Source organism: Homo sapiens, chromosome 4, assembly GCF_000001405.40.
Source record: "Homo sapiens chromosome 4, GRCh38.p14 Primary Assembly".
NCBI classification, from domain to species: Eukaryota; Metazoa; Chordata; class Mammalia; order Primates; family Hominidae; genus Homo; species Homo sapiens.
The window spans coordinates 61,661,010-61,687,699 of NC_000004.12; the positions used below are offsets into that span (position 1 = coordinate 61,661,010).

At 34.5% G+C, this 26,690-nt stretch overlaps 1 protein-coding gene across 59 annotated transcripts in view; it reads left to right on the forward strand.

The window, feature by feature from the left end:
• Positions 1–26,690, forward strand: part of ADGRL3 (adhesion G protein-coupled receptor L3) — an 878,010-nt gene that overhangs the window by 460,684 nt on the left and 390,636 nt on the right. For 57 of the 59 annotated variants that reach the window (NM_001387552.1, NM_001322402.3, NM_001387522.1 and 54 more), the window contains one exon: positions 15,817–15,926. The exons of the other annotated variants lie outside the window; for them this stretch is intronic. In NM_001387552.1, coding sequence (NP_001374481.1) covers positions 15,817–15,926 — 110 coding nt within the window. The remainder of the gene's footprint in view (positions 1–15,816; positions 15,927–26,690) is intronic. 59 annotated transcript variants of the gene reach the window in all.

Below are 26,690 nucleotides of genomic sequence, written 5' to 3' on the forward strand. Positions count from 1 at the left end.
TATATTCAACTGGGTTATATGTTGTGTTGCCCTATACGTTATTACCTCAAAATAATCACTGATTAAAATTACAATTAAGTAAATATTAAGGCCTTGAGAGGTTACATAACTTGTCTTGTTTCTCACAATATTAAATGTAGACTTCTGAGTTTATTCACTAATGTTATCTAACCTATTTGCTTTAGACTGAGTTTTTAAAAATTATTTCACATTTTAAGCATTGTCAATATCCTGACATTTGCACATATTGCATTTTTTTAATATGCATACAATCTGTTGTGAATAATACAGAATAGATCCATTTAAAAATAGTAAAGATAAAATGATCACTTTCAATTATTGACTTTTTCAATCAAAAACTAATAAAACTCTAACTACTATCCTGTAGTAGAATTATGGTTTCTTAATAAAGGGAGACTATATTCTTGAAAAGATTGAAAACCACAGCCTTACATCAGAGCATTCTCCTAAGTAACATATGTGAATAATAAAGTCTACTACATAGTAGGTATTCATACAAATATTATTATTTTCATTGTGTGGTTGTGCGTTATAAGAAATATTTATGAAACTTTGTCTCTTTAAAGGAAACAATTATTAAAGGAAAGAACAGTGTTATGACAATATTAATATTGATTAATATTTTATTTCTGAAGTTCAAGACATAAAGTAGAGATCATGTATATTTCATTATAATATCTTTCAGAACATTGCATTAGGCATTTGATTTCATACTTTATATTTCATATTTTTAACTTCATAATTATAAAGCAAACTAATAAAATACAAAAAATGAGCAATCTTATTTGGGATCAATATTAAAAAAGTTCCTTGACTAAAACTTCAAATTTTATGTAATATTCATTAAGTATGTATTTATCTGTTCTCAATGCAGGAAGAGGCAACAAATGCCTATTATTGAAAATAGCAAACTAGAAAATAAATACCTTGTATTTATTCTTTCAAGTGTTACTTCTTACTTCTGAAAAGCAGGTTGTAGTAGTGAAGGCAGTGGTAGCCAATCTGGAGTGGCCACTGCCATAATGCCAGCTACAGTCGGGGAGGCAAGGCCAGGGCTGTGCTCCACAGAGCTGGCAGGAGCCGGGAACAGACGGAAGTCCCATTCCCTTCTGAGGAGGCAGGACAGGAGCCTCGTGCTCCCTGTGTGAAGCTGCGGCCTCCCAGCCATGGCTCTAGACCCAAGCATCCCTGTGTTCCTGAGGGCCGGGCGCAGGAGGAGCCCTACCCTCCCAGGCACAGCTGTAGCTGCCCAGCCATGATTGTGGACCCAGGCATTACTGTACTCTTAGGGGCCTGGGAAGACCCTTTGCCCCTGCAGGCTTAGAAGTGTGTGTTCCCACCACCCTGGCCTCTTCTCACATCAGTTTTGGAGCAAAGTTTAGGCTAAGCCTGAGCGCTGTTGCAACCCAGCCAGGTGTGTGCATACTCAGGGCAGCACTGACATACCAGCCGCCTGCTGCCTTGGCCCCCTCCAGACTTTGGGTGCCAATGAGCATGGGAGGGAGGCCAAAGGTGGGGGCTGAGGGTAGCTCAGCGTGGGCCTGCAGGCACTCCTTGGCAGGAACAGCCTATGTCCCATGGGCACCATGGATGGCAGGTTAATGGCGGCAGGAGGCCGACAGACTTCTGGGTGGAAAGGGGTGGTTCCCAGTGAAACCCCATCTTCAGGCCAAGGACAGCCTGAGGTCTGGGGGCTGGACTGCCTGAAGAATGGAGTGAGAACTTATGGAGCTTTTTCTGGCCATGCATGGACCAATCCCATAAAAACCCTAGGATTCAGCCTGACTTGGGCAGACGATGGAATGACCTGCCTGTGGAGAGGTGCTACCCACTGTGGGTCTCCTCTCTGCTGAAAGCTGAACACTCATCAGGACACCTTGCTTGTGGAGAGGAGCTACCCACTGTGGGTCTCCTCTCTGCTGAGAGCTGAATATTCATCAGGACACCGTGCCTGTGGAGAGGAACTACCCACTGTAAGTCTCCTCTGAGCTGTTCTGTCACTCAATAAAGCATCTCTTTGCTTTGCTCACCCTTCACTTGTCTGTGTACCTCATTCTTCCTGAACATGGGACAAGAACTCGGGACCCTCCAAATGGCAGGGCTGAAACAGCTGTAACAGAAGCAGGGCTGAAAGACACTCCTTGCTCACTACATTGTGGGTGATGGGAAGGAGAGAAGAGAGAAGGTGAGAATAGCTGTGGCCCTTCAGAGAGCCCAGACCTAGGAGCTCCCTGAGCCAGGGCTGTGACACCCTCTTTGGAGCTCTGCAGTTCCTGGCATCTCCAAGTTTCTGGATTCCAGCAGAAACTGCATTCTCCAATGCCAGCCGTAGATGCCAGCCATAGAAGCTGTTTGTACTATGCCTGGTCCAGCCACAGCCTCGCTGGGAGCTGGCACCTGTGCTGCTGCCCAAAGGTGCCTACCCCACCGCAGCCGGTGTGCCTGGTGGTGTGCAGCGGATGGACCCTTTGCTCACTTGCTCACAGACCCCTCACCACTCTGCGCCTGGCTCACCCTAGGCAGGTGTGGGATCTAGGCCAGTAGCACAAGCTGAGTGCAGCCTGCCAGGTCAAGTGGGAGGAATGAGCCCAGCAGGCCGGAGCAAAACTCAGGCAAACATGCCACCAGCTACAGAGGTTTCTGTATGGGAAAGTGACATCCCACGTCTCCTGTGACAATAACAAATTTTTTCCCTTTTTCTCTTTCAACTAAACTTTAAAACATTGGTGGTTTTCTCAGTCATATGTAAGTTATGAAGACTATGTTTCAGATAATTCATTGTTTAGGATTGAGTATTATAGTTCCATTTTACTATGTTTTATATGAAATAAAAACCACAACTTTGAAAAAGAAAAATATGAAACACCCCCTGAAGACAATGTCTGCTCTTATTACAAGATGTCATAAGTTGTCATCAGAGTCATTCTAACACAGGTCAACTAACGCAGTTATCATCTTAAGGCCTATAGCAACTGAATAGATGTCATCCATTTGTATATGATATGTTCTGGCTTCCTAGGCATGTGGCAAGCTAGATTCCCCTCATGCCAGACATCCTAGGTGATCTATACCTGCACAGTATCCCTAAAAAGAGGCTCAGTACTGAAAACAAATGTAATGTTTTGGGGGCAAAGAGATATGTAGTAAATATATGAGAAACTATTGGGAAATATTACAGAAAAAATAATTTCTATGAAAGCTGCATTCTGTAGGTGTTATGTAAAATATGTAAAATTTTTTAAAGCATTAAATTTTATCAGAATATGGAGCTGTTAATTCAGATAGTCCTGAAAGAATATCATCCTCTTTAAATTTTAAATGTGGTTTGGAATAATCAAGAAATAATAACTTCAATTTGTTTTAATAAAAAAAGGAGAAAAAGTATTAAGAAACTGAAAATCACAATTATCCTACACCTCAGTGATAATCACTGTTGCTATAGATATGTTCATGCCATTCTCTACCTTTATACATGCATACAGCTACAATACTTTTTTTTAATTTTTTCATTTTAAATTTCAATATGGATTTTCTTTTTAGGTCAATAAAGGAAGAGTTGCCTCATTTTAATGTCTTTCTAAGATCACATAGTGGGGATTCATTTTAATGTATTTAATCAGACTATACACTAAAATGCCTCATATCATATACATTTAAAGTAAAATATTTGTTCTTAAAGTCTGAAAACATATTTTTTATAGGGTTCAGGTTTATTTTTGTTCTTAGTTATTGTGGTACAAATTTTATAGTATCTTAAATATGAAGTACTTTTCATTAGACAGGGGAACTTGAGAGAATGTTGTGTAATATAATGTTGTTTGCCTACCACAAACCCATCCTCTAACCCCCATCCTCTTCTTCCTTGCTAGAAAAGTCCTATTTGTTCCATCTCCTTTAGGTAGCCAGGTCCTTAAGAGGCAACTGCATGCCTCTCAGGTCCTAAGATGATCGTGTAAACATCATTCCCCTTATGTGATTATTTTAGGCATAAATATGTTGTCATGCCATAGGCAGTGACTCATGTGGCCAATGTTCTTTAAGGGGTAGTCTTCTGAATGATTTATGTGTAGAATATTCTTACTCTTTAAATGGCAGAACTGCCGGGCGCGGTGGCTCCCGCCTGTAATTCCAGCACTGTGGGAGGCCGAGTCAGGTGGATAACCAGAGGTTAAGAGTTCAAGACCAGCCTGGCCACATGGTGAAACCCAGTCTCTACTAAAAATACAAAAAATTAGCTGGACATGGTGGCGGATATCTGTAGTGTCAGCTACTCTGGAGGCTGAGGCAAGGGAATTGGGTGAACCTGGGAGGCAGAGGCTGCAGTGAGCCGAGATTGCACCATTGCACTTTAGCCTGGGTGACAAAGCGAAACTGTCTTAAAAACAAAAACGAAAACAAAAACAAACAAAAAAAAACATGGTAGAGCTTTACTTTCTTCTGATTATGTTATCGTCTCCAAGTAATACCTGGAAATTCAGTAACCGTCTTAACCATCTTAAGACCATAAGAAAAATCCAAGAGAATTTCATAAAATCCAAGCCATGGGAATGACTCTGGTTAAATCTCTGAATTAATCAACTTAGAACCAACCCACCTTTCAATTTTTAATACGCAAAATGATATTATTCTTATTTTTAAGAAACTTTTATTTACATTTGCTGGTTTTTGTCTAAAGCATTCTGATATGAATAGAAATGCCATCACATTTCTATTTATTGCTTACTGGTGATACCATAAATTGAAGCAGTAGGATACAGGATTGAGATGAGTCTCTCTAAAGTCATGGCCTGACTTAATACATCAGAGTCAGCCTGACTAGCCTCAGTACCAAGTGGGAGATAAAACATGTATGGAGAAAGGGGCCCTTGAGATTTATTTGTCTTCAGTCACTGGCATTTGTGAGCTCTGCTTCATGGATTTTTATGCTATGCCATGTCTGTTACATTATTGTTATAAAGCATGAAGACAACTAAGATTATTTTATGTAGTATAACTTACTACTGCACTCTTCAAAAATCTGTAGATGACAGAGGTAGGTGCCAGACTTCATTTCCCTCTGTTGTGTATTCCTGTTTTGGTACTTTTTTCTTTTTTAACAGCTAAGTATATATGCAGACACACACATGCACACAGTTATTCCTTTGCTTTTGTTTACAACTTTATTACAAGCAAATATGAGGAAGTCAAAGCCATTTTTCCTAGCTCATCTTATGTTTTTCTTTTTAAAGGCTTTCATGTTACTTGACTTCAATATCTAGTATTAGTAAAAGTTCCTTTTCTTTCCATTTCTCTTTCTAAAGGTTTGATTCTGTTTCTCCTTTTTTCAAACATACATAAGTCATTTGACTTGGAAATATCACATATTGAAAGAAAAATGTCTTAACTAAGTGATTCAGTATGACATTCCTTGTCTCAGCCCAGTCATGCGGAGAGGACATTTTTGTTGCTCAGAAAAGAAAAGAATGCCTTACAGCACTCCATTGAAGTATAATGAATTAAATCTGTCCCAGATGAAAAAAAAAAAAGGAAAAAAGAGTAGAATAGTAAGTGGTCTGGTAAAATGGATTCAGATAGTAATATCCTAACTAACTCACAGTGAAATGCACATTGTTTTAACTTAAGAGAAATAAAGTAGTATATTATATAACATATGCAATATATAAGGTGCGTATAACATATTGCTCCCTTATATTAGGTGAAAATAAGCAATATCTTTATTTGCTGCACTTTCAGATAATGAATTCAAGTACATACTCCAACTCATTTGGTTAACCATACATACAAATAAAGAATATTCAGCAATAAAATGCTGCTACAAGTAGATAGTAATAAATGAATATAGATGTCATTCCAGTTATTTTTAAATGAAAATCTTTTACCATTTTATCTGCCTATTGATAAAGCATTTAACTAGTGAAAGATTACAGCTTAGAAATCACTGGTACAGAAGCCAGGGCTGAAATGCTTTTCCAAGCAATGTATGTGAACTTGTTAATTTTAAAAAGCACATTTCCATTTATTTTGGATGCATCGTTCTATGAATTTTACTCATGTGTCTGACATAGCTAATCATTTTATTTTTGGAATGGGCTCTGTGAAATATTCTATGGATGTTGACTGATGGATATGATAATTTGTTTTATCAAATATTGTCCAGAGGTATGTGGAGTATTTGGAAATTAGACTTCTTTGCAAGATTACCACATTTTCAAACACATTTCTACATTTTCAGAATATTATTAAGTCAATTTTATATATTCCTAGGAATAAGCCTTTAAGATTCATACATTTATAAATATACATTTATAGTAAGAAAATCAAAAGAAGTTAGTATTTTTTTAAATTGCCACTGAAAATTTTTAGAGCATAGGCAAATAAGATCTTGTAATACGGTAGGGAATTCATAAATTGTATTTTGTCGGAATAAAATGATTTATTTCAGTCCATCAACATGAGTCACTTTTCATTTGTTTCTAGAAAAACATAGTAACACTGAAACATTAATTTAATATAAATCAGTGGATTTGGTTAAAAATTTCTTAATGTTTGATATTTCACATTTTGTGAGGTTTTACGTAAGTCCAAATTGAAAATACATTCCAATTTCCATAAAATGCTTTAAAAGTTTACCTTTCTTGGTCACCTAAAATGTAGCTCAATTTCTGTCATCTATAGCAATATGCTTTGTATGCTGAGAATTTCATTGTGATAAAAGCAAACAAACAAACATAATCTTTTAACCAAATTAAAGTCAAAACATTTATTTGTACTAGAGGATAATATGTATAAATGTGGCTTACATGCCTTTTAAGAAAAATAAGTGTACATCACAGGAATAATGACCACTTTAGCCATGCTCCTTGGCAATGACATGCATCTTACTAGGTCAGATTTCAAGGTGCCCACCCCAAGAGACACTGTTTTCAATATGTCTTTTTACTTAACATGTGTTAGGATGAATAATGACCCCCACCCCACCCTGATATTTGAATTATGATCTTCTCCATAACCTGTGAATGTTATCTTATATGGCTAAAGGGACTTTTCATATATGATGAAACTTTATGGCTTTTGAGATGAGCTGATTATCTTGGATTATCAAGGTGGGCCATAAATGTAATCACATTGGTCCTTTTAAGAGGGACATAGGAAGATTAGAAGAGGGAAAATGTGATGTGACTTTAGAAATGAGGAAGAAAAGGTGCTGTGTTGTGGGGCCACAAGCCGAAGAATGAGGGCACAGCCTCTAGAGTCTAGAAAAAAGGAAAGAAACAGATTTTCCCCAAAGCTTCCTTATGAAACAAACCATGCCAGCATCTTGGTTTTAGCAAGATTTATTTTGGTCTTCTGACCTTCACAACTATAAGATAATTAAGTTGCATTCTTTTAAGACTTTAAGTTAGTGGTAGTTTGATATAGAAGCAACAGAAAAAACGAATACAATATCCTAGGTTCCACACTATTCCTTACTCATCTCTTTGGTTATATTGTCACTTGCTGGATTCAAATTATATTTCTTTAAGGTAAAGGAATGTTATTGAAGTAACATATAAAAGAATATAGGAAATGAAAGAATTGGAGCTAGAGAATCACTTTATGAATCACAGATCTTCATTTACATGCATTGGCATAATGTCCTCTGAAATATCCTATAGTACTTTTAGTTTATGATTTACAAACAATTTTCTCAAAAAAAAAAAAATGGAGGCCTGGCACAGTGGCTCACGCTTGTAATTCCAACACTCGAGAGGCTGAGGTGGGAGGATTGCTTGAGCCCAGGAGTTTGAGACCAGCCTAGGTAACACAGTGAGACCTCATCTCTACAAAAAGTAAATACAATTAGGTGGGCATGGTTATGTGTACCTGTGGTCCCAGTTATTCGGGAGGCTGAAGTAAGAGGATAGCTTGAGCTGCAGAGATCGAAGATGCAGTGAGTTAAGATCATACCACTGCACTCCAGCCTGGACAATGCGGTGAGACCCTGTCTCAAAAAAAATTTTTTTAAATGCCAGATTAAGAGTCTTATTACTTTTATAAGTCTTCTTAAATTGCCCTTAAATTGTAAGTGGACAACGTCATTAAACTTTTTAATAAATGCTGAATGTATGGCTACAATATATATATGGGAGAACTTCTTTTATTTTTAATCATGATTAATGTTTTTATTTCATAGCCATTTAGTCTCTTTTTATTTGAAATCTAGTTGATTCTCTTTATGACCTACATATTTGTTTTCTACCATTAGATAGTTGTCTCATCTTTTTTGGTCTTCTAAGTTCAGAATGAATGTCATATAAGCAAGTCTTAGGATGACAGGCAGTAGAAAATAAGGAAACTACTGTCTTGAGGAGGAAAATAGAGAATTGTTCAGTTGATTGACATTGAGCAAAATACTACTGATATATGCATCTATTTATGTTTTCTTCTATTGCTGCATTCCATCCTGAGAACTAAAAACCCATAGTTACTGTGATCACCTAAACTATTTTGAGATTTTAAACATTAATATTATATGATGTGGCTTTTTAAATTACAAGATATCTGTAAAATATTTTTCTCTTGGAGAATAATTCCATCTTCTTATATGAATCATGCACTGGTTTATCATCTGTTAGATGCTATGAACTTCTTGGGTATACTAAGTGGATATGTGTTTTTGCATAGCACATGCTTTTGTATAATATTATTTAATAAGTGCTAATATAAACTCATATGATTAATTTTGCTAACAAAAAGGCACAAGGCACTCTTTTTTAACATTATCCTACCCTGTCTTTAAAAAGTCAGTGCTTTTCAGTGGAGTTTTATACATGACTGAAACTTCATTTAAAAAGTTTCTTAGCATTCTGAGGAATCATTTGTTTGTGTACACTGACTTTAGAATGTGATAAACATTCATGATCGAAGGGTTTATTAACCTAGAACCCCTGTGAATTACATTCCCAGTATGTAAACACTACAATATTTCACTTAAATTATTTTAGGCTGGGTGCGGTGGCTCATGCCTGTAATCCCAGCACTCTGGGAGGCCGAGGCAGGTGGATCATGAGGTCAAGAGATCGAGACCATCCTGGCCAACATGGTGAAACCCCATCTGTACTAAAAATACAAAAATAAGCCAAGTGTGGTGTCATGCACCTTGAGTCCCAGCTATTCAGGAGGCTGAGGCAGGAGAATCTCTTGAATCCAGGAGTTGGAGGTTGCAGTGAGCTGAGATCACACCACTGCACTCCAACTTGGTGACAGAGCAAGACTTCTCTCAAAAATATATATATATATTATTTTAATGATACCATGTTAGATCTATAGTGCTGTGCAATCAACTAATATCATCTTTATATGTCTATTATGTGAGAATTTTTAAAAATATAGTTATGTTTAAGGCTTATTTTTATATGCTTCACACACAAGTATGTTATAATCGAACATGAGATAGTGGGCTGCTAATTTTTGTCTGTATAATGGAAGTGAAAGAAACACCATTTTGTTGCAGTCTTCTTACACCTTAGTTTAGCAAGGTCCAAATTCTTGTCCCATGACCAAGAAGAATAAGGCATGTAAACACCAGAGAGTGAGTAAGGCAGAGTGGGATTTATTAAGTGACAGAAAAGCTCTCAGCAGCAAGAGAGGACCCAAAGATGGTTGCAAAAAATGATGCTGAGCTCTAGGTCTTTTATGTGTCAGAAAAAGAGTCTTCTGTAGGTTCTGCCTTAATGGGAGAGGTAAAGTTCCCCCCAGGGGTGTTGTGTTTGTGTATGCCTGGGGTTGGCCATAGTAACTCCATCTTGATTACCCATGAGTGCCTAAATGAAACCCACAGAAGGACAAAAGTCACAATGCTCATAGAATTATAAGGAGTTCAGGGTCATTGTAGGATGTCCTCGGTCCTTGTCTGTGCCTGCACAGGCAACTAGAAAGTCCTTTCTGAGCAAGCATTTTGTTATAACAGGAAGTTCTTAACCACATTCCCTCCTGCTAGCTACATAACAGGGGTGGTACAGGTGTGTTCTTGCAGGCATTGTCCCCCTTCTGAGACTCTCCCTCTCTATCTGCCTAAACAGCCCCTACCTGCCTCCTCTCTCAATTTTACTGAAATTAGCAGGAAAAAATAGGCTAATTATTTGAATAGTCAATATGCATGTAAATCCAGCAATATCATTTTTACTATATGGTGCTCTATGTTGTGGCAAATAGAGGAAAAGTTTACCCACAAATGACTTTTTCATTGTCACACTTACTTCACTTACACTGCAATGAACCATGTTGAAATGGACAAATTAACAGTAAATGATTATCTTTCCTAATACTAATCCTGTGATTTGGGAAGATGTGTATCTTCTATGACGGTCATCATATGACATTCTTGAATTAAACAATATTGCTTTAAAATTAGTGCTAATAGCTAATAGAACTCAACAATTAACTAACATTTATTAAACCTGATCAATAGGTGACAGTTACATGTAAATCGGAGGTTTATATGTGGGTTAAATTAAAATTGCATATCTTTTTGATTGCAGAAAAGTCTATATATAAATAAATATGCATCATATTATTACTATGCTCTGAAATTTCTCTTTCCAATTTCTGTATGCCAATTCAAATTGTGAGGGCCTGGTTATATAATGCCTGATCTACATCATGACTGAATGAATTCTGGGGCACTCAGATATTTCACAGATGGTCTTTATTTCATCAGATCATCATAGTACTCTTGAGAACCGATCAGGTCAGGGTGAATTAAATCAGGGTCCCAGAGTGACCATGAAATGTATGACTCATTCTCCCACAAGACAGCAGTATCATGATTTTCAGGCCACTGTTCTGGACTCCACTGACTATTATTTGATTACTGAGAGTCTGAAAAGCCATTTAACATCTCTATTCCATCTTCTGTAAAATTGAGGGTAGCATTATTCATCTCAGAAAGAAGTGACAAATAGGTTTAAAAGTATTTTCTCCCATTCTGTAGCTTGTGTCCTCACTTGGTTAATTGTTTTGTTTGCTGTACAGAAGCTTTGTAGTTAGATGCACTACAATTTGTTTATTTTTGCTTTTTGACCTGTGCTTCTGGGGTCATATTCCCCCAAAATTGCCCAGATCAATTTTAAGAAGGTTTTTACCTATGTTTTCTTCTAATAGTTTTATAGTTTTAGGTTTTACCTGTAAATCTTTAATCCATTTGAGTTGGCTTTTTATATCATGTAAGATAGAGATCCCATTTCTTTCTTCTTCATGTAGATATCCAGTTTCCCCAGCCTCCTTTATTGAAGAGTCAGTCCTTTCCTCATTGTGTATTCTTGGCACATTTGTTGAAAATTAATTGACCATAAACATGTGGATTAATTTCCGGGCTATCTATTCTGTACCATTGGTCTACACGTTTATTTAGGGGTTGATATCCAGTGTATATCAGGAATTTAAACACCTCAATAGCAAGAAAACAAATAACCTAATTTAAAAGTGGACTCAGTCTATCAACAATGAAACATGATAAATATTTCTTGAAAGAAGACAAATGGCCAACAGATATATTAAAAAGTGCTCAACTTCACTAATCGTCAGGGAAATGTGAATCAAAACCACACAGTGAGATATCACTGCATACCTGTTAGAAGGGTTATGTTCAAAAAGACAAAAGATAAGTGTTGATGACAATGTAGAGGGAAGAGAATCCTTATATACTATTGATGGAAATGTGAATTGGTATAGCCATTATGGAAAACAGTATGTAGGTACTTCAAAAAATTAAAAATAGAACTACCATATGTTCCAGTAGTCTTACTTCTGGGTATGGATATGTAAAAGAAATGAATCAATATCTTAAAGAGATATCTGTAGTCTCACGTTCCTTGCAGTACTGTTCACAATAAATAAGATAAATATAATTGGCCTAACTGCCATCAGCAGATGAATAGATAAAAAGTAAATGTGGTATACATAAATATATAATGGAATATTATTCAGCCTTAAAAATGAAGGAAACTCTTGTCATTTGTGATAACATGTATGAACCTGGAGGACATTATGCTAGATGAAATAAGTGAGACATCAAAAGACAAATACTATTTGATCCCTCTTATATGTGGAATCTAAGAAAGTCAAACTTCTAGAAGCAGAAAGTAGAATGGTAGTTTCCAGAAGCTATGGAGATAGGAGAAATGGGGAGATGTCGATCAAAGGGGGCAAAGTTTCAGTAATGCAGAATGAGTTAATTCTGGAAATCTAATGTACAGCTTGGTAACCACAGTTAACAATACTGTATTATATACTTTTACAACACAGTAAAAGATAACTGTAAGATGATGAATATGTTAATTAGCCTTATTGTGGTAATCATTTTACATTGTAAAGATATATCAAAACATTAGGTAAGAGGGATACCAAAAAGCATGTTTTTAATTTATGTTTACTTTAAAAATAAACAATGAAACTAAAGCATTTGAGAACATTAGATTACTTTATCTCACTTTTTTCATCTATAATATTTTAGAATGAATTTACTTTTAAAAATTTTGAAATAACTACAAAAGGAGTCTTTGTGGACTAAATTGTTTATAAATCTTTAATTATATCTTAATTTCATTTTAACTCACAGTAACTGAAGTCATTTAAAAAAAGAAAGCGAAGTAAAGGACAGAACCTTTAAACTCCTGTTTTCAAAATATAGCTAGTTTTTAAACAATCAATATTATAATGTATCCTATATAAAAATAGTATTCCAGAGATTGAATCTACCTTTTTCCATTTTATTTTTTAATAATCATAATTTATAATGAACTTTTGATATAAACATAGTAATAGAATCATAAATTATTTTGAAAGGTGAATGTTATAAATTACTGCTGTTTTATATAGAACAATGATGATAATAACTATAAATATATTATAGGCATAACATTTTTTGTTTTATATACCACTGAACAGACACTATCTCATTAATTAGAAGGCTTTCTTGACTCATCTTCGGTTAATATTAAATAATCTATTTGGAACTCACAATGGTAACTAATATTTACAACAGATCGTTGCTTTTATAATTTTCTTACATATAGATAAATAATTAGTAATTTACAACTTCATAATATATAATATGTAAATTTGTCGATGCATTTTTAGATAGATAGATAGATAGATAGATAGATAGATAGATAGATAGATAGATGTGTATAGACTCCAGGTTATGTTTTCTAATCTAATCTATATAAACATAACCATTTGAAATCCCTATTGATTCAACACAACTTTCTGTGCAACATATTCTTCCATAATTGTAAATTTTAACTATTATGCTCTGGTCAGAAATGAGTAGTAAGCTGATCTGTTTATATCGTACATTGATTATTTAAATAAAATATTTACAGTTGCCTGTTTATACCTGAAAATTACAAGAGTAGATATTGCTTCTAAATACATTTTTTAAAATTAGAGCTATGGTAATTAAAAAGGTTAATAATAGGGAATAAAATGACTATAGACCAAGATAGGAAGAAAAGGAGATATGTATAAATATTCACACATCAGAATTAATATTACACTTACAGAATATTTACATTATATTAAATTTTATAGTGCCACTTTTCCATTATGTCTACTTTGAATGTGTTCCTGATAATTGCTAATTTTTCTATAACAAATACAAAAATAACTTTATGAGTTCATATCCCTGCCTATTGTATTAAAAACTTGACATGGATTTATGAGGTTGTATATTCAAGGTGTAATGTGAAAATTATATTGTTTTAATGGCTAAAAACATGTCACTTGACTTGAAGAGCTTCTTCAAATAATTTCTTTGTAATACGAAAGATCTACTATTTTAAGAAGGTGTGAGTACACCAAAACATCGAGATAACATATTTGTGGTGCATGTGTGAGGACAGCCACATTTACCTTAATGTTATTATACATTTGTCTGATCATCAGCCTCTAACATAGAAAATCCTTACAACTTGTTAACCTTCAGGATTAGCTGTTATGCTAAATTGCCTGATGAGTATGGAGTATTAGCTTTTATTCACCTTTCACTGATAACACAGAATATATTTTTCAGCTTCAGACATTCATTAATGAATCAAATTTAGGGACTAAATAAAATCCTTATTAAGCCTGACAAATGGTAGCCTCAGGTAAACCCAACGTATTTTTACACTAAATCAAAGTGAGTTCTGCTCTAGATGCTCTTTATGTTGCCACTATCCTTGCAAGTATTCTGAGGTCACATCAGAGAACAGAACATCTCCTTAAGGAATTAACAGAAGAATCTAGCCCTGAGGTATTATATTTCTGAAATGAATAAACAAGAACATAAAACACAGGGGATAATTAGAGTATCTCATATTATAGACTTAGTGCCAATATTATGGGTAGGAAAAACCATTAGCTTTTTATAGACAATATACTTAAGGATAAATTTTTGAATTTAGAACGTTTCTGAGTGAAATTCACAGTAATTAGTCCACTGTGAGTATGGGTATCTTTTTCAGAATTATAATTAATTTCAACATGTTTGTTTTTCCCCATGAATTAATCAATTCAGATTTGTTTAGCCTAATTGCCACAAAAGTGCCCAAGTTTGTATTCATGTTTTTTTTTTCCTATGGCTTAGAAAGTTTTATTTATTTATTTATTTATTTATTTATTTTTGTGGGAACATAGTCAATGTGTATATTCATGGGAACATGAGATATTTTGAAAAAGGCATGCGATGTGTAATAATCACATCAGGGTAAATGGGATATTCATCACCTCAAGCATTTATCCTTTGTGCTACAAACAATCCATTTATACTCTTTTATTTTTAAATGTACAATTAAATTACGTTTGACTGTAGTCACCCAATTGTGCTATCAGATACTAGGGCTTATTCATTCTTTCTAACCATTCTTGTACCCAGGAACCATCTTCACTTCCTCCCCCCTCTACCCCTCACTCCGTTCCCAGCCTCTGGTAATCATCTTTCTACCCTACAGCTCCATGGGTTTAATGGCTCCCATAAATAAGAACATGCAAAGTTTGTCTTTCTGTGCCTGTCTTATTTCACTGAACATGATAACCTCCAGTTCCATCTTATATTTATGTTTTATTAGTGGTATGTCATTATTCTTTTTATAAATTTAAATTCATTATTTTATAAGATTTTGACCTTTGTGATAAGTAATCCACGAGGATTGTATCATTATTTGGCTGAACAAAAGGAACGTGACAGTTAATTCCTAAAGTGGTTTTAATAAGTAGTAATATTATATTAATTTTTACAAAATAAATTCAAATATCAATTTTAACATTTAAATATTAACTTTTTACTAATTTGTTAGGCTCAGATAAAGCTTTTCAATACCACTTTTCATACCTTTAAAATGAATGTCATCATAGTCAGTGAATTTATTTTACAACTGCCTAATAAACTCTGTGGTTATATTTTCTAAAATACTTTTTTTTTTGTACTGGAGTGAGTCTTTCCTATCAAATAGTCTTTCCTACTTGTGTTCACATTGGCAATATCCTGTGGACCAGTTAGTGTTGCTTCAGCAATATTTAACTTCTAACTAGAAATTATGCTGTATTCAACCAAATATTAAATTAGCTAATATGAGCAAGCTGAATAGATTCATTTTAATGTGTAGTTTCTAAAAAGTGTACTACAGATATTTTCTTAATAGGCCTAAAGCCCCAAATTAAGCAAAACCTTATTCAAATCTGTATAACAGGAACTAAAATAAAATTAGTGTTGATGTTGATAATAATTTAACTTTGCATAAGCTTACTACTTCTTTTCCTTTCTTTTGACTTCAGATGCAATAACAGAACCCAGTGTGCAGTGGTGGCAGGTCCTGATGTTTTTCCAGACCCGTGTCCAGGAACCTATAAATACCTTGAAGTGCAGTATGAATGTGTCCCTTACAGTATGTATATTCCTATACTTTTCTTGGCAAGAGAAAAGATACTAAACTGTGTTTTGCATGCATTGACAAATATTCTCTATGAAAACATAAATCACGTAAATTAAATGAAAAAATTGGCTAATATTAATTTTTGAGAATCATAGACCCTCCCTGCCATCAGAAGAATTAGATATTGCCTACCCTCTCCTACGGCATTTACTTGTGATTATTTCTGTATATGAATACGTGTTCTAACACACTTTTCTTAATTAATGCAAGAATATAAAACATTTAGAAAAAGGTTGGGGGAGTGTTATACCAATTCTCCAGGTCCAAGCAGATAAGAGGTGAAAATGAGCAATACAATTTTATATGTAATGTATAGCAGTTGATACATTTTGAATTTGATAGAATTGTATCTAAGCTTCATCTGCTGTCAACATTTTGAGAATTAGAAATATATTCATCCAGAAGGAGTAGACCAGAAAGAAAAAATAAAGATTAAAAGAACTTGAAGTACTCTTCAGACTATATGTTTTACAGCTTCAAGAAGTATGTCTTTGCAATGTTTTTATCAGATATGGTATATGCCAACAACATGTCTTTTCTTCAGGAATAATGAAGAATCAAAAAATCTAAAATGAAACATTTTCTGACTTTCCCACTCAAAATAAGAATCACCATCTCAAAACAATTTTTATATCTAACTCGTTAATTATTTATGAGATTATTAGTGAAAATCACTCAGGAAATTATGTATTCTCATAATAGATATTCAGCTTATCCCAGAGATAGAAAACACCTGGGATCATAAACAAATCCTAGGTTTCAACTTCCTTTGATGTTTCATAAGAAGCAAAGTATCTGGGGATCAGCAAGTTTGCGTTTGTAAAGATAGTTCTAGGCTTGCCTCATTCACGCTTATTAAAGAAGCAGGACATTACTCATGAGCTGGAAGTATAAATACTTCAGTAATAGAAATTTGGCCAATAAGAGAAGAATTGAAATTTTAAAATAATAGTGAAAACAATTCAGAGAAAATTTCGTTCAGCTTCATTTATAGAATGAATGATTAGAGAAAGTTTATCTTGTGAAGTTTTATAAGCTGATCTTCATTGTTATGAAAAATCCTCAGAGTACAGGATTTATTGATATCTCATTTAGGTTATGCTTCTTATATTGTTATCTCTATAGGCCCTTCTATGAAAAGGTAAAGCCCCTACTGACGATTATTGTTCACTAGTGATATTTTAAGGAAATAAAATTTGTAAACCATCCTGGAATTGGGACAATTATACTTGGGTTGCATAATAAGACCTTTGTGAAATATAAAGACTCCTGTTCTATCAAGGAATTTTATTTAAAAATAAGTTACACACCTTGATTTTAAAGACAGTTTTAGGCAACTTACATTCATATTTGTATGTTCATATTTTGAAATATAAAAGCTGAAGTAAAATTTCAGATTGTAGATTTTATCATATTTTTTTAATTAAAGAATTTCACGGCTGTCTCTTCAATTTCCTGTATTACTTTAAAATGTCTTTGAGGATAGCCACTTCAAAATCCTCTGCCAAACTCATTCTGAAATATCATCTACTTAAATCACTTTAATATAAATAAGAACTTGCTCATACACTTTTACATAAAAGGATTATAGTTTACCACAGGTTTCCTTTCTCTCATAAATTTTCAGAGATTGGCAATTTGGTTCCTTAATGTCCTACATTTAGAGAGTTCTGATAATCCTGAAAGTTTACTGCCTGCCTTAGAAATATTATATCAAAATATTTATCTAATAATTTTATTAAATAAGAATTATACACTCAGTTATACTCACTTGCCAGTTTATACACTGGTTTAATTTATACGTTGTAGCCTGATCGTGTCTGTTTAAATTATCTGGAGTATGTTTCAGTTAAAAGTATAATGCAGAATTGGAATTCATTTAATAAATTTAACACGATTTGAAAAGAAAATAATCCAAAAGAAAGTATAAATCATAAAATAAACTATAGTGATCATTCAAAAGGTAGATTGGTTTAGGAGAGAGAAAGACAACCAGAGATCAGAGAGCATGGGTGCTTTTGTTAGTCTGTTTTGTGTTGCTATAAAGGAATACCTCAGACTGGGTAATTTAGTAAGAAAAGAGGTTTATTTGGCTCACGATTCTGCAGGCTGTACAAGCATAGCACCAGCATCTACTCGGCTTCTGGTGAGGCCTCAGGGAGATTTTACTCATGGTATAAGGTGAAGGGGGAGCAGGTACCTCATATGGCAATAAAGGGAGCTCCTAGACTCTATTTAATAACCAGTTCTTATGTGAATTCATTACCACGGGGAGGCCTTCAAGCCATTTATGAGGGATCTGCCCCCATGACACAAATATATCCTGCGTGGCCCATCTCCAACACTGGAGGTCACATTTCAACATGAGATTTGGAGGGGACACACATGCAAACTATATCATTGGATTTAGAATACAGTCTGATTACTTAACAAAAAGCTAGGTCCTTTTCCTGGATCTCACCTTGTAGACCTTCCCTGATCTATTAATAAATTCTGATTTATAACAACACTCAGCTATTTTTCTTTTCTTAAGCATAAAATTAATGACTCTTTAATGATGAAAAGATTTACTTATTTAAAATAGTTATAGTTTATTGACACTTAACCACATGCCATTTTCTACATGGATAGTGTTTACATGCATAGGCTATTTAATTTTTACAAGATCCTCCTTGTTATGTGTATCACCATTTTTCTGAAGAGGAAACTGAAGTTCAGTAGATAAAGTGAAATGTCCCATGTGAAATGTAGACTAGCTAGAGAATGGCAAAGATTAGATTTGGGTCTGTTTCTAATACCTGTTCTTAAGAACCTAGCTGTATTTCTCTCCATAATTGTTTTTCATTTATATTTTCATGAGCTATTTAATCTTATATAATAGTTTTAACTCATAATTTTCATCAGTACATTAATGGCATGTGGTGAAAGAAAGTGTTTCAAGGGCCCAAGTCGTTTTTCTTAGTCCTTTACCTGTTTATTTTAAAGATGTTTTTGTCCTTTTTCTTAAAGCAGCTGAATCATTGCAAACTTTTATTTTCCCAAACCTTTATGAAGTAACTAGTTTGTACCATGAAAATACTACTTGCACTTTAGAATGAGGCTCCTAAGTAAAATACTTTTTTAATTACCTGTATTAGAGAAAATCCTTGTGCTTAATTATATTTTATGATTCTTGATAAAAGATCACTATTTCATTAATGTGAGGGAAATTTCAGACTTAGGATTTAATATTAATATTGGAATTAAACAACTGAACGAACAGTGTTAGGTTCTGTTTGTTATACAATTTAGTAATATCCATTTCCATTTCGAATTTATGACCACAAACTTTAGTGCTTGTAGTAATATATGTACTATTTATGAATGTTTCATTCTTAATATTGATGTGTAGAAGAAACTTTTTTTTAAATTTATACATACTCGTGTGTGTGTGTGTGTGTGTGTGTGTGTGTGTGTGTGTGTGTGTTTCCATGGCAATATTCATTTTTAAGGTGAGACTTTTTCATGGACAAAATGTAGAAAAACAAAATTTATAGGAAAACATAATAATGAAGCATATTAAAGGTAATATAGACAGAGTCAATAAAGTTCATTGTATCACATAAGTGAAGTAAAGTATCTGAGAAAAGCTTGCAATAATTCTTGCACGGAATTTTAGGAGTCACTAAATAGGTACATTGAACAATGACAACTTTAGAGGAATCTTAGCTTGAATGAGTCAAATGGTACGACTTTTAAAGATGTCAATGAGAAAGAAAATAAGAAGAGTTAGTTTTTAAACTGTTTACTCAGACCACCTTCTTTGAGTGTTTTGTACTTATTTTTCCGAGTCACTGAAGTTATATTTAATCTTTTCTAAGTCCTACCTTCTTACTTCTGTTCTGTTTTTTCTTGTTTGGGTTCACAGGCACACTTTTCCTGACAAAATTTGGAACAGATGAATCAATACTTTTCTCTGTTCCTAGCACACCTCAGTTCCAGTATGACTTTTGTAGCCTTTGCATTTTCTTAGGAGGTTTGATGTTCTTCCTTAGTGGATATTTTCTCCCTAGGAGATGACCCAAATATTCAAGAGGTTAAACCTCACATTTACCAAAGCCACGTTTTTGTTCTTCCATCTTTCTTCTTCTTCTCACCCTACCTCCTTCCCTTCTGACTTGATTTGAGATTGAAATTGTGTCATCTAGAGCTGCCTTCATTCAGCAGGGTTACAGGGATGACTTGTATTAGAGAGAAGGCAATAAAACAACTAACCACCTACTCAGAGTATTTCTGAGCAAAGAATCTTTACTTTGTATCCTGCTGACAAATTGTCTTTCTTCCGAGGCATACAATTTCACGCACATTACACTCAAAAGGTGTTTGTCTTCTCTCACAGTCCAGCTTTTCTCTTCAATTCTTTGTTTCTTTTTTTTCAGAACAATAAAGCATATATTACTTATTCTAGCAATCTTCTCTCATGGTGAATTTTCTAAGAAAATTGCGGGGGGAAGTACACAATTTGGAAAGTGACTAGAAATGAATGTTTGATTAAAACAACCTTGTTATAGCACTTAAGACTTTCTCACTAGTCACATTAGCCATTTGAATAGTTGTGTGCATGATTGTCCTTATGAACAGGCAAGAAAAATGAGCATTATTGGAAGATTGGTATTTATAAATAATTATGTAACTGTTTCATCATTTTTACTAAAAGAAAAATGTATTACACGTTTAGCATTTAAAACAATCTAAATATTTAATTATAAATGATTAAATACATTTTTGCAACTAATGTCCAAATGAGTGCATATTTAAATGTGTACACATTTGGTTACTATTATGTAAATAAATAATTACATATTTTTAACTCATCGTGCTGAAATTAACTGATATTTTTAATTTTAGAAAGATCACAAAAATGTCCAAGGTATATTTTAATTTCTTTCCAGTGCCTTTTTCTGCTTCATATATACAGTAGACATTCAATAAATATGTATTGAAGGACTGGAAGAAGAAAGAAAATTTAGTCAAATGGCTTCTCCAAAAGTACTGCATTCATTGCTAGAATGATAAACACAAAAACTCTTGTCTGCAAATAAGACCTTATTAATTCAAAAGAAAGATCTATTTTTAAAAATATACATTATATAAATTTCAGTTTCTCCAAATTACTTGGTGATTGCAATCCTCAAGAATGATACCAGCAACCTTTTTTCATATTATTATTATTATTATGTATGCCTTTGTATAATATAGCAAGTATTGTCCCTTGTTTAAATGTTCCTCTCTCTGTATCAGCTATATAAATTTTTTAGAATTATATTTATAACAAGAGCAACAAAATGTTTTTTTCTTCTCTCCCATTCTTTCTCTCCCTTACCACAGTTTCTTTCCCTCCAAATAATTTATCTCTCCTTCACAGAATCTTTTATATAACAGATGATTCATAAAGGTCTGGGAAATGAACCAATGGTTAATTAATAATTAAACCCTGCTTATATGCCAAAAATATTGCATATTCATATATTTTGCTATCATCATTCTGTTTAGAAAATAGGAAGCATACATAGCTGGAGTTACTTTCTTTCTTTAAAAAAATTTTTTTTTTTTTTTTTTGTAGACCTAGGGTCTCACTATGTTTCCCAGGCTGGTCTCAAAGCAATCTTTCTGTCTTAAGCAATCTTCCCGCCTAGGCCTCCCAAAGTGCTGGGATTACAGGCATGAGCCACTGTGCCCAGCAAGTATACTTTCTCACAGGTTCTAGTCATAAACTCCCTCCTACCTTTGTTGAACTGCTTCACATGTGCATGGAAGTTATTCTCAACTAGATTATATTACTTGCTTGTGAGACCTCCTTCTTTTATCTTCCTTTCATTCACCATCTATTGAGTACCTACTGCATACCAGGCACTATAATAAAATATTAGGGGTCAAAAACCAAGATAAAGATTCTGTCGTCCTTCAAGGAGTTCAGTCAAGTGGGGCTTAGAGTCCCTAAATTTACAATGTTAGATTAAGCATTTCACATTAGAAATATACAGAGAAGGCACACTGATCCAAAGTGGCTGATATTTGACTAGGGTGGTGGTGGTGGGGATAGAGGTCTTCATGGATGCTCTTCTAGAGAAGGTGACCCTTCAAGAGCTGTATTTTTTTTTTTTTTTTGAGACAGGGTCTTGCTCTGTCACCCAGGCTGAAGTGCTGTGGCATATTCACTGCTCACTGCAGCCTGGACCTCCCTGGCTTAAGCAATCCTCCAACCTCAGCCTCCAGAGTAGCTAGGACTGTAGGCACATGCCACCACACCCAACTAATTTTTGTATTTTTTGTAGAAATGGCATTTTGCTTGTTGTTGTGGTCTTTCTGCTCTTTAGCTCAGCTAGGTTCAAGTTCTTGTCTCACAACCAGGAAGCATTAGCCACACGGACACTGGAGAGTGAGTAGAGTAAAATTTATTAAGCAAAAGGAAAGCTCTCAGCAATGAGGGGATACAGGGGTGGTTCCCGTACCTGAAGATGAGAAAGTGCCCCGTGTGTCTGGGTCTGGGGTCTCTTATGAACCCACAATGGGGAGTGCATGCTGATTGGTTTGTGAGTGTACAAAAAAGGTTAAAGTGAAGACACCACTCAAAGGTGGGCATGACAGTGTAGAAAAACAATTAGAAAAGGGTAGCTATATGTAAAATAGGTGAAGGGTGGGGATCAATCAGAGGAAAGCGCACCAAACAGGAAGTTCTCAATCCAGTCCAAGGATTTAACTTGTAGCTTGGCTTTCAGGCTTTAAACTGTCTTTGGCTTGGAGGTGGGGTTTCACTGGGGACCCACCCCTATCTGCCTAGGCATTTGCCTGCCTCCTGCTGCTCTCACTTTGACCAGGCTGGTCTCGAACTCCTAGGCTCTAAGGATTCTCTCACCTTTGCCTCCCAAAGTGCTGGGACTACAGGAGTAAGCCACCGTGCCCTGCTAGAGCTGAGTCTTAAAATATGAATAGACTTTCCTGAGAGAAGAAGGGCAATCATTTTTAGCAGAGAGGACAAGCTAGGTAATAAATCGCATGGAGAATGTGAAACCAAAACCATTTGGTATTTGCATGAAATATAAAATGCAAGAGGTACAGAAAATAAACCCATAGATGGGCAAGGCAGAAATCTTGGACTTCCCTGTATGCTATGATTTCTCTGGAATCTAGTACCAGTTACAACGTACAACATGGAGAAGGTAGTGAGCCATTTCTGAATGTCATTAATTGATATATTATTAAGAAATGTTTGTTTGAAAATCTGTGAAAACCAACTTTGGCTAGTTTAAATTAAATAAAGCAGAGGTTTTTTTTGGCCAAATACAAAGTATTAGTTCCAGAAACAAAGGAGAAAAAAGGTGAAAGGCCAGGCCTCTGAAAAAGTAAGAGTCAGTGATCTAGAGATCAAGAACTCCTAGACAGTCTCATCAGGACTCTGTGTTCCTGCTAATCTAATTCCTGTAATGATCTAGGCTGGGACATCAAGACTTCATGAAATCCAGTAGTGGAGTATTGTTACCAAGGAAGAAGAATGGGCTGGCAAAGAGCTTATGTGTGACCAGGAAGGATCAGATCCCCGTAAAGACTTTAGAGCAAAGACTGCAGGGTAGTGGTCGTGGGCCAGATTCAGCCTGCCGAGGGGTTCCCTAGGCCTCCGAAACACCTAAAAGTCAGATTTAACATAAAGTCTGGAGCAACACAGACCTTGCATTCCTTTGGGCAACAACAGGCTAGCTCTGATTTGGTTCTGCCCACTTTGAGTGGATTCTGTGCTTTTCTGTTTGTTGTATTTTTCAGTAATTCATTGTATTGTATTCTAAAGGTTCACCTGAATAATTTTAAATATTTCCTGGCTTCTGAAAGGTATTTAAATTTGCAACTGTTGCTCTAGAGTTTCATTCTAGTAGATTTAAAAGCACTCTTAATTGTTAGCACTTTTTTTTTTTTGAAACAGGATCTTGCTCTTTCACCCATGCTGGAGTACAGTGGCACAATCACAGCTCCCTGCAACATCCACCTCTTGGACTCAAGTAATTCTCCCCCTCAGCCTCCCTCCCAAGTAGCTGGGACTACAGGCGTGCACCATCACACCTGGCTAATTTTTTTAATTTTTAGTAGAGACAGGGGTCTCACTATGTTGCCCAGGTTGGTCTCAAACTCCTGGGCTCAAGAGATCCACCCACCTCGGCCTCCCAAAGTTTTGGGATTACAGGCATGAGCCAACTGCACCTGGCCCATTTTTTTCTTTTAATTCTCAAAAGCTAGTAATAAGTTCTTACAGCAGCAATAATTCTATCAAACAAGTTTATCGCTGCCTACTATGGTCCTATAACTGTGCTAAATGCCAGTGAAGACGTTAGTCCCACGGGTAAGGCAAATAATGAACACATGAACCAATACATGTAAATATCAAAGTTAATGTTAAAAAAAAATCAAAACTTCATGGTAAAAGAGAAGACAATCAATATGATTCTATGATAAAGAACAATGAAGGGGCTGGCTTACAGAGGGTGTGATGAAATATCTGAAGAGGCTATGTGAGACCTGAAGAATGAGAACGAGATAGGCCAAGAGTCTGGGGAAGAACTTTCAAGGCAGAGAGGACAGCTCCAAGGATCTTGAGGTAGGGAAGAGGTTGGCCTGTTCTCGTAAGTGGTAGAAAGACAGTGTGGCCAAAGTCCAGTTAGATGAGGTAGATAGATTTAGAGAGCTACTAACCAGCAATTAGCACTGTCACCACTACTGATAATGAAAATCAGTTTTTTTCAAGTTTCTAGGATCTGTTGAGAATCAAAATATGTTTGCAGAAGAGAATTGAATAAACTGACCTTCTCTTTCTAATATATATTTTAGAAAATATTACATTATACTACAGTAATATGAAGGTAAACTTACATCAAATAAACCAAATATCAGATGGTATAAACATCTAGGTAAGATTCATATAGACTTAGATTAATAATATGTAAATGTACACTTAGATACTAATTAGTAAGGAATCGAGATGAATTGAGAGCATTAAAAAATTAGTTGGATTGACAGAGTTAGGAAAATATTTGGTTTAGGAAGTAAAACTTTATTATAGACATAAAAGATTGAAGGGGTTAGCTCAACCATGCTCATTTAGCTTTATTCAAAATAGGAAAATATAGAACTTATGCATTTAAATTTCATTCAAAGAAATTTGTATAAGTTATTGAAATTGAACCATATAAACATGTAGAGTTAAAATATCTTGTTTTAAAAATATACCGCATACAAGAAGAATAGTAAAAGACATACAAAGGTAGGGTTTTCATCCCAAAGTATTTGTTGCTGAAAAGATCTTATGTTTTGTGTGAGATCTATGAAGTAAATTTCCAGATAAAACTGTTCTAAATAAATGTAAAATTGATTAAAATGCTACAAATTAGCATTGTTGATTTTCTTCTACTCCAATCATGAATCTTATGAAACTAAAAAAATTAAATAATTGGTTTAGAAAGCACTTCATCATTCAAATACTTATTTATTAAAAAGATTTGTTTTAAATTGACACATAATTGTGCACATTTATGGGGTACAGTGTGGCATTTTTATACACCTATACGTTGTGTAATGATCAAATCAGGGAATTAGCATATACAGCACTTCAGAAATTAATTTCTTTATGGTAAGAACATTCAAAATACTCTCTTCCATCTATTCTGAAATATATAACATGTTATTGTCAACTATAGTCACCGTCCTGTGCAATAGAACAACAAAGCTTAAAGGATAAGTCCTTCCCATCTAATTGTAACTTTTTACTTGTTGACACATCTCTCCTCATTCCTCACTCCTCCCCATCTTCCAGCCTCTGGTAGTCACTGTTCTACTCTTACCTCTATGAAATCAACATTTTTTGATTCCACATATGAATGAGATCATGAGATATTCTTCTGTCTCTGGCTTATTTCACTTAACATAATGTCCTCCAGGTTCATCCATATTGTCACAAATGACAGAATTATATTCTTTTTTATGTTTAAATTTAACATGACACCTCATTAAAATTAGTAATTAGTAAAGGAATATATATGTTAATACTTTTGTTTATATTTTGGAAAAAATGTATCAAATGGTAGGAGATCATAATTCCTGTTAATACCATAAAATTTTTAATTGCCCAATTTTTTTTTTCAAAACGCTTTAATAAAATCCAAAGTCAAATAAATACTTATTATATGATAGGCTCAATAAAGTTCCCCCAAAGAAGTCTATATTCTAATTCTCAGAATGAATATGTCACCTTAACAGTCAAAAGAGATTTCTCAGTTGTGATTAAGTATATTGAGATGGGAGGTTATTCTGGATTATCTGAGTAGTTCCAATCTAATTACAAATGTCCTTATAAGAGGAAGTCAAGAGAGTCAATGTTGGGAAGGGGATATATGACAATTGAAACAAAGGTTGGAGTGGTATACATAGAAGATGGAGGAAGGAGCCACTAGCCTCTAATAGTTTTGCTTTCTAAATAAAGATTATTGTATATTTCTAATACATTATTTTTAAAATATAAACATATACCTTCTCTGTCATGGACTAGGGAAGGGTGGGATGTAAAATATACCATTATAGATAAAAGTCATTTTACATTCATTTATGAATATATTAAACCCAAGGCAAATCCAGGTCAAATTAGCATTTAGTAAATTTTATTTTTACTATATTACACTCATCTACAATTTATATAAG